The 13,728-nt window shown below is 46.6% G+C and overlaps 1 protein-coding gene across 6 annotated transcripts in view, besides 2 other annotated features; it reads left to right on the forward strand.

Moving 5' to 3' along the window:
- JPT2 (Jupiter microtubule associated homolog 2) overlaps window positions 1-13,196 on the forward strand; it is a 24,581-nt gene extending 11,385 nt beyond the window's left edge. For 3 of the 6 annotated variants that reach the window (NM_001434665.1, NM_144570.3, NM_001434667.1), the window contains 3 exons: window positions 2,180-2,322; window positions 8,149-8,197; window positions 9,148-12,423. In NM_001434665.1, coding sequence (NP_001421594.1) covers window positions 2,180-2,322; window positions 8,149-8,197; window positions 9,148-9,335 — 380 coding nt within the window. In that variant the 3' untranslated portion in view covers window positions 9,336-12,423. Of the gene's footprint in view, window positions 1-2,179; window positions 2,323-8,148; window positions 8,198-9,147; window positions 12,424-12,472 lie in introns of those variants that run through there. The other 3 variants (NM_001434664.1, NM_001434666.1, NM_001434668.1) reach the window with 2 other exon arrangements.
- Window positions 159-855: an enhancer, noted in NCBI's record as "H3K27ac-H3K4me1 hESC enhancer chr16:1739823-1740519 (GRCh37/hg19 assembly coordinates)". NCBI's record gives its function as "activates a minimal SCP1, AML or CMV promoter by ChIP-STARR-seq in primed H9 embryonic stem cells {active_cell/tissue: H9 hESC(primed)}" and the evidence as "EXISTENCE:reporter gene assay evidence [ECO:0000049][PMID:30033119]".
- Window positions 2,425-2,719: an enhancer, noted in NCBI's record as "tiled region #11614; HepG2 Activating DNase matched - State 15:Elon, and K562 Activating non-DNase unmatched - State 17:Gen3'". NCBI's record gives its function as "activates a minimal TATA promoter and a strong SV40 promoter by Sharpr-MPRA in HepG2 and K562 cells {active_cell/tissue: HepG2 | K562}" and the evidence as "EXISTENCE:reporter gene assay evidence [ECO:0000049][PMID:27701403]".
- Window positions 13,197-13,728: the final 532 nt, after the last annotated feature.

The following is a 13,728-nucleotide window of genomic DNA, read 5'->3' on the forward strand; positions in this document are numbered from 1 at the left end:
ACTCCTGGACTCAAGCAGTCCTCCCACCTTGGCCTCCCACCGTGCTAAGATTACAGGTGTGAGCCAGTGCACTTGGACTGTTTGTTACCTTTTTAAAGTTAAGAAGATGGATATGAAGGAAGGTTGACATAACTTGTCCAAGGTCTCACAGTTAGTGAGCAGCTGAGCAGAGACTCCCTGACCCAGGCAGTCTGGCCACAGGACACTCTCCCCACCGTGCTGTGCTGCTCTCCCTGGCCAGGGGTGTCAAGCTTGGGGACTGTGGGTCCCTGGGAGGTCCATGGCTGAGGTTCAGAAGGTTTATCACCCTGAAGTCATGTGAAAAATGTACACATTTCTCTGCAGGGCGAGTCCCGCATATCCCCAGGTGTTCTGTTACCACCTGCAAAAGGTAGACACGCCCGCCCGACCCCCCACTTGCTGTGCTCTGTTATAGTCCTCCTTGTCGCTGCACTCTGGGCCCCTAGAACTGGTGTCCCAGAAAGCCACCCTGCTTTAGGCCCCGCCGCAGCAGTGGGGCCCTCAAGCGGGTCTGAAGACGAGCAGGTGCACAGACCCCCAGCCGAGCCTCATCTCCACGCAAGCACACGTGGGCTCTTCATCCGGTTGCTTCTGTGGAGCAGTGTGGATTGTTAACACTAGGAATTAACTGTTGAATATGTGGTTTTTTCCTGTAACCAAATTGCTGTAACTGTACACTAACCTTGTGTGAGAAAAGTTTGTAGTCCTGCTAAAAGCTCCTCTGTCTCTGCCTATATAAATGAAACCCTAATGTCCCTACTTCAGAACACTGACTCCATTCCTTTGGAGTTGGTGTTTCCAGGTGGGCTATACTCAAGCATTACACATGAATAAACTCTCTTTAAGTTAAATAAATCAATTTACAAAATGTAATTTTTCGAGAACAGAAAATGCAAAAGATCAAAACTCTGTAAACAAAAAAAGGAGACCATGTTAAGCAGTGTGGAGCCCCTGCATTTCCCCAGTCCTGTTTCTTCACACGTGTAGGCATCCCCCACAGGTAACTGCTTTTCTTCAGATAAAAGCAAATAAGAACACTTCCCCTTTTACATGAAAACACTGCATGCTATATGGATTGTTTGCACCCTTGTGTTTTCACTGGATGATATGTATAGATACCTCTTTATCATTGCATAGAAAATAGAGTTGACATGTTTATTTCCATCCCAGACACTGTTGTAAGCATTTGACATATGAGCTACAGTAACTCACTGAGCTTTCTTCCAGTCCTGTGAGGGAGTTCTTTTATTATCCCCATTCTACAGATGAGGACTGTGGGACACAGAAAGGCCAAGTAACTTCCATAGGATCACACAGCAAGTTAGCAGAATGCATCTTCTTTCCTCTTAGATTATAAGTTCTTGGTGCACCAGGGCCATGATTTTAATGACACCAACCTCCATTTAGCATAGCACTTTGTCAAAAGTGGGTGCTTGGTGTCTGCTGAGTGAAGAGATGATCAGTTGGTCCCACAGGGTAGCCATCTTTCTGTGGAATGTTAGGCACGGGCATTTATGCTGAGCATCTAGCCTTTAGTCACCTGCTACTAGGAAGTTACCTCTTAGACGCACATTTTCATTATGGCTTATCAAGTCACTTATAGTTGGCAACAAAGATGTTACATGTGTCTAATTTGCTGACATATCTAGTCACTGGAAGTACCAGCCAGAATGAGGTCAGAAGAATGACTAATAAATATTTTCAGGATGGCAGGTTTCCCTTGAATAGGGCATGTTATTAAATTCAGAACTCTTATCTGTGTGACTTAAACATTTAGCTGTTTATTTTTAATCTACTGAAGAACTTTTCATGGGTTTTGTGAGCAGACACTTCAACAGGAAAGCATGAAATGTTCAGGGTTAAAGAAATTCTAGAGGGAAAATCTGCAGTTTGATGCCATCTCACCTCTAGAGGCCAGCCTAGATCAGCTCAGTTCTAGACATAAGGGCTGCAGGCAGGCCCCTGATCCAGCCATGGTTTTCAGGGGTTTCATGGATCTTCAGGGGTTTCAGTCTGAGCATCCTGCCCTGTTGGCCTGGAGCTCAGGGCTGGCACTCGGGGTTCCTATGAGAGGAGGTCTCCAAAGCACTGCGGGGGTGGGGTGGGGTGGGGTCCGGTGGACGTCTGGTTGCTCAGTGTTCTGTGATCGTTTCTGCAGGGGGTAAAGGAAGTGGTATCTTTGACGAATCAACCCCCGTGCAGACTCGACAGCACCTGAACCCACCTGGAGGGAAGACCAGCGACATTTTTGGGTCTCCGGTCACTGCCACTTCACGCTTGGCACACCCAAACAAACCCAAGGTATGGACTGCATTCAGACGTGACAGCGCAGCAGCGGGTATGCCAGGTGCTCTTTCCAAAAAGGCTCCAAGGCAGATGCGACATGTTTTTAGGGAGAATCATGGTGGGTGCCGTAGATTATCCTGGATGCAAGCATTAGTCATCGAGTTTGGAAGTTCCCCTGAGTCACCCAGGAAACAGTCCAGCCTTGTGCTGACTGAAGCCGTGGGGGAAGCTCTTCTGTGCTGGTGGCGGACGCCCACTGCAGACGGGCTGTGGCGGCTCCTCACTGCAGTGCTGCGGGGCGCGGAGAAGCGGTGGGGAGCGGAACGTGCCGCAGACGAGCTGGGCCCTTGTCCGTCTTCCACTCTTCCTGTTTCACCTTGCAGAGGAAAAGTGACAGTTCTTTTCTGATGGGCTTTTCCCCGCACAGTCAAGGTCCTCGGCTGGTTACCTGTGGAGATTGTCAGCACTTGACTGAAGCGTAGCTGACGCCTCTGACCCAGTAATGGCATCAGTAGGATAAGACAAGTGGCCTGGAAAGGAGAGGAATGCCTACACGATGCGACCTCGGGCATGGCCTTAGCAGGGATTGATCAGAGCTGCAGCCTCCCTGGGCTATGGTGGAGGGCTTGCCTAAGGCCAGTCTCGGCTTTCGTGAGGACCAGAGCCTGCACTACCCTAGCTTGGACATTTGTTTGAATGGTGGCAGAACATTTCTAGGGTTTACTGCAGCCACCGTTCATCAGTAAGAAAGACCAGGATTTATTACTAACATAATTAGCGATATTTTTTCATCTATTCACTTTTCTACCTTTTTTGTGGTTAAAAGATATGGTCTGGTTCCTTAAAGTGGAAAATTCTTAACCATTTCTGGAGTTACTTAACGCCTAGAAAACTGCTGCATGTTTATTGGTTTATATGCTGGAAGATGGCCCATTGCAGAATTAAAATGGAAATGTAGACAGAAAGGAGAGGACATGAGTGGATGAGGGCATTGATCGCGGCCAGCCTGGTTTGGATTGCCCTACATCTCTCTTGTGCTGGCATCTCTGCAGCGACATCTCTTTCCAGTGTATAGAGTCTTATATAGGACCTGTTAGACTCTGCTGAGGTTTGGTCGTGTTTTTTCGTTTTATTTTGTTTTTTCTTTGAAATAGAGTCTCATTCTGTTGCCCAGGCTGGAGTGCAGTGGCACGATCTCAACTCACTGCAGCCACTATCTCCTGGGTTCAAGCAATTCTGCCTCAGCGTCCCGAGTAGCCAGTGTTACATGCATGCACCACCACGTCCGGCTAATTTTTGTATTTTTAGAAGAGACAGGGTTTCACCATGTTGGCCAGGCTGGTCTTGAACTCCTGTCCTCCAGTGATCCACCCGCTTCAGCCTCCCAAAGTGCTGGGATTACAAATGTGAGCCACTGTGCCCTGCCATGCTGTCTGAGTTATTTTCAAGAGAGCATCTATTTGGGAAGTATCTTTGGGGGCTTTACTACAAGGTGAACTTTGGCAAGACCAGAAATGTCCCAAAAGTCAGCAATTCCTCTACTACGTAAAGCACTCGAATTAGCCGGACACGAGAGCAAGGTGCTTCCTGCTGAGACTCACACTTTCCAGTGAACGTAGATCAGGTAGAGGACTGTAGGACATCAGTACAACTGGGCATAGAACAAGTGGAAACAGAGTAGAGCTTTCTTTGATTTTCTAATAAAGTTCTTTTGGTCCAGGACCATTGGACATCGCTAGCATCACCAGAGAAATGACTAATTCCAGGTCAGGGTCAGGGAATATACAAAATAAGCGTAGAATATCTCGTAATGCCAGAAAATGAGGAAGCCCTTACAGGCTGCTAGGGTGGTGTCAGAGGACTTGGGGAACAAGGTGAAGAGCAGCCATGGGGCCAGAGATGGGACCATTTGATTATCAAAAAGTGAAATAATTGCAGTGGATTTAAATTCACCAACTGTTCAGAATTCCCGGCTTCCTATTGATACTAAAAGTAATGTAATTTACGACCTTGGGAGAATGCTGGAGGACCGGCTCGTCACTGCGAAAGCGGGCAGATGACAGAAGGGGGCATTTAGCCAGCATTTCCTGCATGAAGTGTGTGTTAGGATAGCAGCTGTTGAAAGAAAGTTCCCTTTTATAAAAGTTTCTGGGATGTAAGTGAAGAAGGAATAAAGGAATTAGAATATCACTGTTTTATAAACTTGTACTGAAATCGTGGATCTGAGAAAATGTTCATCAGTGGCCGTTAACATCACAAAATGAGAGAGAACCAACACTTATGGGCCTGGGAATGGAAATCCACCATGGGCCCCCATTGACGCTGTTTCGTCAAAAAAATCAAGCTCAAATCAGACCAAGCCACATATTAATTAACACCACAGAGCTGCGCTCAGAACAATGGCTTACATAGGAAACAACATGACGAGAATAGAGGGAGGTCCTGAGGATTAAAGAGAGACAAGAATGTAGCCCTATAAGAGTCCTAATGGTGTTTTATTCTGTAATGGGAAAAAAGTCCTATAATTCATATGGAATTTCATGGTACCCCAAGTATCCAAAAATAATAATAATTGAAAAAGATGTTGGAGCTCTTACTTCCTGCTCTCAAATCTTACTGCAAAGCAACGGTAATCCAAACAGCATGGCACTGGCATGAAGACAGACACACTGACCAGTGGAGTCAAGTTGAGAACTGAGAAATAAAGCCTTCCAAAGGGCTTTTTTTTTTTTCACAAGGGTGCCAAGATCATCCAGTGGGGAAAGAACAGTCTCTTTAGCAAATGGCATTGGTACAATTGCATATGCACATGCAGAAGGATAAAAGCTTACTCTTTCTTACACCATACACAAGAATGAACTCAAAATGGATCGAAGACCTAAAGTTAAGGGCAAAAACTATAAAATTCTTAGAAGAAAATATAGGGACAAATCTTCATGACCCTGGATTTGGCAATGGAGGTTTAGATATGACACCAAAAACAGAGGCAACAAAATTAAAAATAAATTGGGCCGTGCATGGTGTCTCACACTTGTAATCCCAGTACTTTGGAAGGCCAAGGTGGGAGAATCACTTGAGCCCAGGAGTTCCAGACCAGCCTGGACAACATAGAGAGACCTCAACTCTAAAAAAACTTTTTTTTAACTAGCTGGGGGCTGGGTACAGTGGCTCATGCCTGTAATCCCAGCACCTTGGGAGGCCGAGGCAGGCGGATCACCTGAGGCCGGGAGTTCGAGACCAGCCTGACCAACATGGAGAAACCCCGTCTCTACTAAAAGTATAAAATTAGCCGGGCCTGGTGGCACATGCTTGTAATCTCAGCTACTCGGGAGGCTGAGGCAGGAGAATCGCTTGAACCCAGGAGGTGGAGGTTGCAGTGAGCTGAGATCGTGCTATTGCACTCCAGCCTGGGCAACAAGAGCGAAACTCCGTCCCAAAAAAAAAAAAAAAAATCAGTTGCGTATGGTTGCGTGCACCTGTGGTCCTAGTTACCTGGGAGGCTGAGGTGGGAAGATTGCTTGAGCCCAGTTGTTCAAGGCTGCAGAGAGCAGTGATTTTGCCATTTGCACTCCAGCCTGGGTGACAGAATGAGATCCTGTCTCAAAAAAATTATAAAAAGCCTAGGCATAGTGGCTCATGCCTATAACCCCAGCACTTTGGGAGGCTGAAGCAGGCAGATTGCTTGAGCCTAGGATTTTGAGACCAGCCTGGGCAGCATGACAAAACCCCTTCTCCACAAAAATACAAAAAATTACCCGGGCATGGTGGTGCACACCTGTGGTCCCAGCTGTTCAGGAGGCTGAGTTGGGAGGATCACTTGAGCCCAGGAGGCAGAGGTTGCAGTGAGCTAAGATCATGCAACTGCACTCCAGCATGGGCAACAAGCAAGACTGTCTGAAAAAATAAGTAAATAAATAGGTCTTCATTAAAGTTATAAACTTCTGTGCATCAAAGGACACTATAAAGAATGAAAACAGGCCAGGCACAGTGGCTAACACCTGTAATCCCATCACTTTGGGAGGCCGAGGTGGGCAGATCACCTGAGGTCAAGAGTTCGAGACCAGCCTAGCCAACATGGTGAAACCCCATGTCTACTAAAAATACGAAAACTAGCCGGGCATGATGGTGGATGCCTGTAATCCCAGGTACTCGGAAGACTGAGGCAGAAGAATCAACTGAACCTGGGAGGCTGAGGTTGCAATGAGTTGAGACTGCGCCATTGCACTCCAACCTGAGTGACAGAATGAGACTCTGTCTCAAAAAAACAAAAAACAAACAAAAAAGCCTGGGCACAGTGGCTCACACCTGTAATCCCAGCAATTTGGGAGGCTGAGGCAGGCGGATCACGAGGTCAGATCAAGACCATCCTGGCTAACATGGTGAAACCCCGTCTCTACTAAAAATACAAAAAAAGTAGCTGGGCGCCTGTACTCCCAGCTACTCTGGAGGCTGAGGCAAGAGAATTGCTTGAACCCAGAAGGCAAAGGGCGCAGTGAGCCGAGATTGCGCCACTGCACTCCAGCCTGGGCAACAGAGTGAGACTCCGTGTCAAAAAAAAAAAAAAGTGAAAAGATAACTCGCAGAATGGGAGGAAATATTTGCAAATCATTTCTGATAAGGAGTTACTATCCAGAATACATAAAGAATGCCTACAACTCAACAACGAAATAACAAACCCAATTCAAAAATGGTAGTGGACTTGAATATACATTTCTCCAAAGAAGAGATACAAGCAGCCAAAAACCACCCGAAAAGATGGTCAGTGTTATTAATAACTGGGGACATGCACATCAGAAACCCGTGAGATGCCAGTGCATGCCTGTTCGGATGGTGTGATGTAAAAATGGAAAATACGAGTTGGTGAGGATGCAGAGAAACTGGAGCCCTCGTGCATTGCTAGTGGGATTGGAAGATGGTGCAGTGGCTGTGGATACTGCCAGTTCCTCAGAGTTAAACAGGATTACCATATGACCGAATAATTCCACTCTTAAGTACGTACTCACAAGATTTGAAAACAAGGAGTCAAACACTAGATCCTTGCACCAGGATTATTCACAGTAGCCCAAGGGCGGGAATGACTCATTTGTCCATCAACAGATGAATGGGTAAACAACATGTGGTCTGTCCATACAATGGAATATTACTCAGCCATAGAAAGGAATGGAGCATTGACACACGCTACAGCATGGATGAAATTATTATGGATGAAATATTACAGCATGGATGAAATATTATGCCAGTATTTAAAAATTTGACTTTGAGGCTGGGCACAGTGGCTCACGCCTATAATCCCAGCACTTTGGGAGGCTGAGGCACGCAGATCACTTGAGTCCAGGAGTTTGAGATGAGCTGGGCAACGTGGCAAAACCCTGTCTCTACAAAAAATAGAAAAATTAGCCAGGTGTGGTGGCTCACGCCTGTAGTCCCCACTACTCGGGAGGCTGAGATGTGAGGATCGCTTCAGCCCAGGAGGCAGAGGCTGCAGTGAGCCAAGATCATGCCACCGCACTCTAGCCTGAATGACTGAACAAGACTCTTGTCTCCAAAAAAAAAAAAAAAATTGACTTTGATATTTAAGGAATCATTAATATTCGCAGTTTTGAGGGTGCTACTGTTATTTTTTAAAGGATGTTTTAAGAGCTACATCTTGAAATATGTATGGATAAATGAAATATCAGGTTTGTTTCAGAATAGTCTGTAGAGGATTGGGGGGGTCCTGAGGTCAGATATACAAGCATTTTTGTAAATTAAAAGGTTATATGGTCCTGATTTTCATTGTCCATTTGAATGAGGGTAAAATTTTCTGAGTGAGTCCTGATTTGGTGGTTTGCCTTGTTGCAGGATCATGTTTTCTTATGTGAAGGAGAAGAACCAAAATCGGATCTTAAAGGTGAGCTTTTGTTTTCTTTCCCTTCTCCTGAGTGGCCTCATTATTTCTGGAAGAGTTGCTAGTCTCTCCTCTGGGAATGAAAAGGAGTCTTTCTTTGCACCTTCTGGGCCACCTGATTAAAACGAGCTCAGGTGTATCCACTGCAAGAGGATTCAGCATTTGAAGAAGGCTAGGGTGAAACCCTGGGACTTGGTTGTCTTGCTCATCAGCCTAGGCCCAGGGCCATGGGGTCGTCTCCTAGAAGCTCATCTGTGTAGTGATGGGCAGGGATCCCAAACCTTCAGTGAACTCATGACCAAGCATAGAGCTGGCAGAACTAATCGAGAAGAGAGGGGCACAAGAGAGGGATGGAGGATGGGGAGGCGGGTGTCTCCATGGTGAGTCACCCCGGGGGAGTGAGCCACTGCTCAGGTTGAGCGGCAGACTTCGACTCTCCCCACGGCTCTTTAGCCTGACCATGGGCATCGGTTTCTGCCTTTGGGTCTCCATTTCCCTTAACTAATGACCAAGATTTGTGGGATTTCATTCACCTTTGAAAAGCCCAGGGTAACAGCAACAGAGCCTGCCTTTGCCTTGCTAAGCCCTCACCTAGGATGCATTCCCTCGCCGCCTCATGGTCACTCTCAGGGGCTTGCTTTCTATACTTGAGATGGAAGAAATGGGAGTGGTGTCTAACAAGCAATATAAAGAAACAATTCACTTAGGAAGAAATCAAGGAGTATTTACAGTAGCAAGCCCCAACTTTATGCCCATTTCAAAACTGCATCTGCTAATTACAGTGAGTTGTTTTGGTACCAGATGAAAAGCCTGTCTATATTGTCTTCTCTTTCCCAGTTACAGCATGAATTTCTTGCAGGTTGCTCTATGACACACTTTTTATTTCCACAGCCTGCCTGTCAGGGTCATGGGTTGCCTCTAATGGGATGTTGTTCTAACTTTGTGTCCCACAGCTGCAAGGAGCATCCCGGCTGGAGCAGAGCCAGGTGAGAAAGGCAGCGCCAGAAAAGCAGGCCCCGCCAAGGAGCAGGAGCCCATGCCCACAGTCGACAGCCATGAGCCCCGGCTGGGGCCGCGGCCTCGCTCTCACAACAAGGTCCTGAACCCACCGGGAGGCAAATCCAGCATCTCCTTCTACTAAGAGAAGCCACTGCTCCACCCGGAGCCAGACCAGAAACTCAAGAGATAGGGTAGCCATGTTTTCATTTCCTTTTGCCCAAATGAGCGGGGTGGGAAGAGGGTTAGTCTTATGTGAGCCTGGCTGCTCAGCGTCTCCTGGCCGTCATGACAGCTGCTTGGAGACCCGTGCCTTCCAGATGGCTGGGAGATGCCTCTGTGGGGATGAAATGGGGCACCCCTGGCCATCACTCATGTGTAGTCCAGGTTTGAGAGGAACTGGAAGGGGGGTGAGGGTGGGGAGGTGGGGCAGGGCATGGTCCTTGGATCAACAGCCCGCCAGCTGATTGGATGTCTAGGAATGACTGAAAGAAACCAAAACAGCCTGTCCACTGCTGCTGTGGGATGGAGGAGGCGTAAGCAGAAACACTAACAGTATATTGACCTCTTAGCAGAACCGCTTCCATTCTGGAGATCACGGCTGCTAAATCCAGCATCCCCACTTCATTTTACCCCCAGCATATTGTTCTGTAGTCTTTTCTTGAAACATCTTGATTGCTTTTCCTCGGCAGCTTTCAAAAAACCAAATAATAATAGTTATCCGTCTTCTACTTCATGGAAGATTGTTTTGGTGCCCTGACCCTCTGAAGTGCCCAGTTCCTGCCATCTGAAACCTCGGCCTGATCTGATCTCATGTTGGAATCTGCCTGTCTTTCACACAGGGCTGGTCTTGGTCCTTTACATGCCAGTTTTGCTTGTGAATTCTTGCTTTTTTCCTCTCATCAGCCTTAAGTTTAGGCGTTTGTTGTTCTCCAGTGATGTAGACAGTTCCCTTCACAAGTCACAGTTCTTCCCATAAATGAGGCCCGCTGACCTCTGCGGGACTTTAAAAATCTATTCAGATATTTCCGAGTAAGTGGCTTGTTTAAATTCTTCCTGTGTCTTTCTTTATTCCTTAATTGGTTGGTGGAAAGAAGAGATGCTTGGGAACCTTGGGTTCTTAGGTTTGGATTCTTTAATAATATCTAAAAAGCTAAATTTTAAATACCAGCTTTACATAAATGATTGTTGACTCTGGTCTGTTTCTGACACCTTTCCAGAAAAAAGTCAATTGTTCAGGTACACCAAAGAGGAAGAAGAGCTGTGGAGGCCACCCTCTACAAAGCTTTATAGAACTTCTGGATCTAACTCACAAACAAGCTTCCAGAAGAGACTAGAGACCTTAGGCCAGGAGATGAAGGAGTTCAGTAGCAAAGTCACACCTGTCCAATTCCCTGAGCTTTGCTCACTCAGCTAATGGGATGGCAAAGGTGGTGGTGCTTTCATCTTCAGGCAGAAGCCTCTGCCCATCCCCCTCAAGGGCTGCAGGCCCAGTTCTCATGCTGCCCTTGGGTGGGCATCTGTTAACAGAGGAGAACGTCTGGGTGGCGGCAGCAGCTTTGCTCTGAGTGCCTACAAAGCTAATGCTTGGTGCTAGAAACATCATCATTATTAAACTTCAGAAAAGCAGCAGCCATGTTCAGTCAGGCTCATGCTGCCTCACTGCTTAAGTGCCTGCAGGAGCCGCCTGCCAAGCTCCCCTTCCTACACCTGGCACACTGGGGTCTGCACAAGGCTTTGTCAACCAAAGACAGCTTCCCCCTTTTGATTGCCTGTAGACTTTGGAGCCAAGAAACACTCTGTGTGACTCTACACACACTTCAGGTGGTTTGTGCTTCAAAGTCATTGATGCAACTTGAAAGGAAACAGTTTAATGGTGGAAATGAACTACCATTTATAACTTCTGTTTTTTTATTGAGAAAATGATTCACGAATTCCAAATCAGATTGCCAGGAAGAAATAGGACGTGACGGTACTGGGCCCTGTGATTCTCCCAGCCCTTGCAGTCCGCTAGGTGAGAGGAAAAGCTCTTTACTTCCGCCCCTGGCAGGGACTTCTGGGTTATGGGAGAAACCAGAGATGGGAATGAGGAAAATATGAACTACAGCAGAAGCCCCTGGGCAGCTGTGATGGAGCCCCTGACATTACTCTTCTTGCATCTGTCCTGCCTTCTTTCCCTCTGCGAGGCAGTGGGGTGGGATTCAGAGTGCTTAGTCTGCTCACTGGGAGAAGAAGAGTTCCTGCGCATGCAAGCCCTGCTGTGTGGCTGTCGTTTACATTTGGGAGGTGTCCTGTATGTCTGTACGTTGGGGACTGCCTGTATTTGGAAGATTTAAAAACCTAGCATCCTGTTCTCACCCTCTAAGCTGCATTGAGAAATGACTCGTCTCTGTATTTGTATTAAGCCTTAACACTTTTCTTAAGTGCATTCGGTGCCAACATTTTTTAGAGCTGTACCAAAACAAAAAGCCTGTACTCACATCACAATGTCATTTTGATAGGAGCGTTTTGTTATTTTTACAAGGCAGAATGGGGTGTAACAGTTGAATTAAACTTAGCAATCACGTGCTCAGAGCTTTTGCCTGTCAGTTGTGTGTGTCCCTTATAGTCCCTTCCCCCACAGCTCTTGCTGAAAGAGTTTGCCTTGTTTTGTTTTGTTGTTTTGTATTTAGCCAGAGGATGCCAAAATTAGTCTTCTCAAAGCTTTGAGTAGAGTAAGTGTGGGAATAAGCCAGTTTTTTTTTTTCTGTTTCTGTAACTTAAATGAACGGGTTTTTTTCCCTTGTATGCCACTTGTCCTAACATGTCCTTAAGGTGTTTAACCTGCCTCTGACCTGGCTTGCAATGCATAGGTGAGGAGAAGCAGAGAGCTTGTCATATGCAAGTCCTGTCAAGAAAACAGGTGGGCATGGTGGCTCAGGTCTGTAGTCTTTGGGTCTTTGGGAGGCCAGGGTGGGAGGATCACTTGAGCTCAGGAGTTTGAGACCAGCCTAGACAACATACTACGACCCTGTCTATACAAAAAAAAACTTCTCTAAATTAGCCGGATGTGGTGGTGCATGCCTGTAGTCCCAGCTACTCGGGAGGCTGAGTGAGGCAGGAGGATCACTTGAGACCAGGAGGTTGTGGCTGTAGTGAGTGATGATCATGCCACTGCACTTCAGCCTGGACCACAGAGCAAGACCCTGTGTAAAAAAATAAAATAAAAAACAGATTGGATGTCTTTCTTCTGATGTATTAGCTATTTTCATATGTTTTCTAACATACTTAATATCCTTACAGGCATTATGTGGATTCAGGGTAAACTTCTCAGACTGTGAGCCTGAGAGTTCCTCTCTAGGAGGCTCCACACCATTCTGCCTGCTAGATCGGGGCCAGATGAGATGAAAGTCAACGCTTGAGAAAGAAAACCAACATGCATTAACTGAAACACCGTCTTCACTTGTTCATCCACAGGGTATAGAGCGAGTTCCAAGAACCAGGCTAGGAAATGACACGCTAAGTTTCCTATTTCTAGCAGCTGCCAAGGCCACCAGCAAGCATGGGAACCTCTGGGAGTCACAGCTCCTCCGTCTCCAGAGGCCTGGCAGTGGCCAAGTCTAGAAGGACGCGGGTGCCACCTGGTACAGGGTGAGGGTGTGAATAACAGACCCCGAAGGGTTGCCACCTCGAGCCCCGTGCCTTGTCCAGGAATACACAGGCTCTTTTGATGTCAGGTAACTTTGCCATATGATCTTTGTGGTGTACCTGGTAGGTCACACCCTGTGAGTGTGTAGATGCCTCCTCCCGTGCTGGCTGCTTAATTTCTTCTGCACTCATAATCCTGACCATCTTGAAGATCATCACTGAAATACTCCTGTGTAATGTGTGGCTACAAAGTGCTATCTAAAGATGCTCTCTCAAACTCAGCTCATGAAGATGAGAGGAACATCACAGGGAACTGTGTGGCTTCTTAGCAGGCATCAGGGCAGATACTTAGAAATTAAAGTTGAATTTTAGAAACTTACATTTTATATTTTAATGCCCATCTTACATTTTAAGGTATTTTAGTGAGAAAAAGTTGCATCCCAAATAGTATTTCTGAATCTGAAAGGAAGTCAACTCCTCTGTTACTAGAAGTTCGTTCTTCTTTTTTTTTAGACAGAGCCATTCTGTCACCCAGGCTGGAGTGCAGTGGCACAATCTGCTCACTGCAGCCTCAACCTCCCAGGCTCAAGTGATCCTCCCACCTCAGCCTCCCAAGTAGCTGGGACTGCAGGCATGCACCACCACGCCTGGCTGATTTTTTTTTTTTTTTGGTAGAGTCTGGGTTTCACTATGTTGCCCGGGCTGGTCTCAAGCTTCTGGATTCAAGCGATCCTCCCTCCTTGGCCTCCCAAAGTGCTGGGATTACTGGTGTAAGCCACTATGCCCAGCTGTAAGCAGTTCTAATTCAGCACCAACTTTCAGGAGAAGACCAGTTGTATGATTCCATAAGTGTCAAGAATTATCCAGCACCTTGTTAAAATTTCATTTTAACCAACTTAAAGTAACAAATC

The sequence above is a fragment of the Homo sapiens genome, chromosome 16 (assembly GCF_000001405.40).
Source record: "Homo sapiens chromosome 16, GRCh38.p14 Primary Assembly".
NCBI lineage: Eukaryota > Metazoa > Chordata > Mammalia > Primates > Hominidae > Homo > Homo sapiens.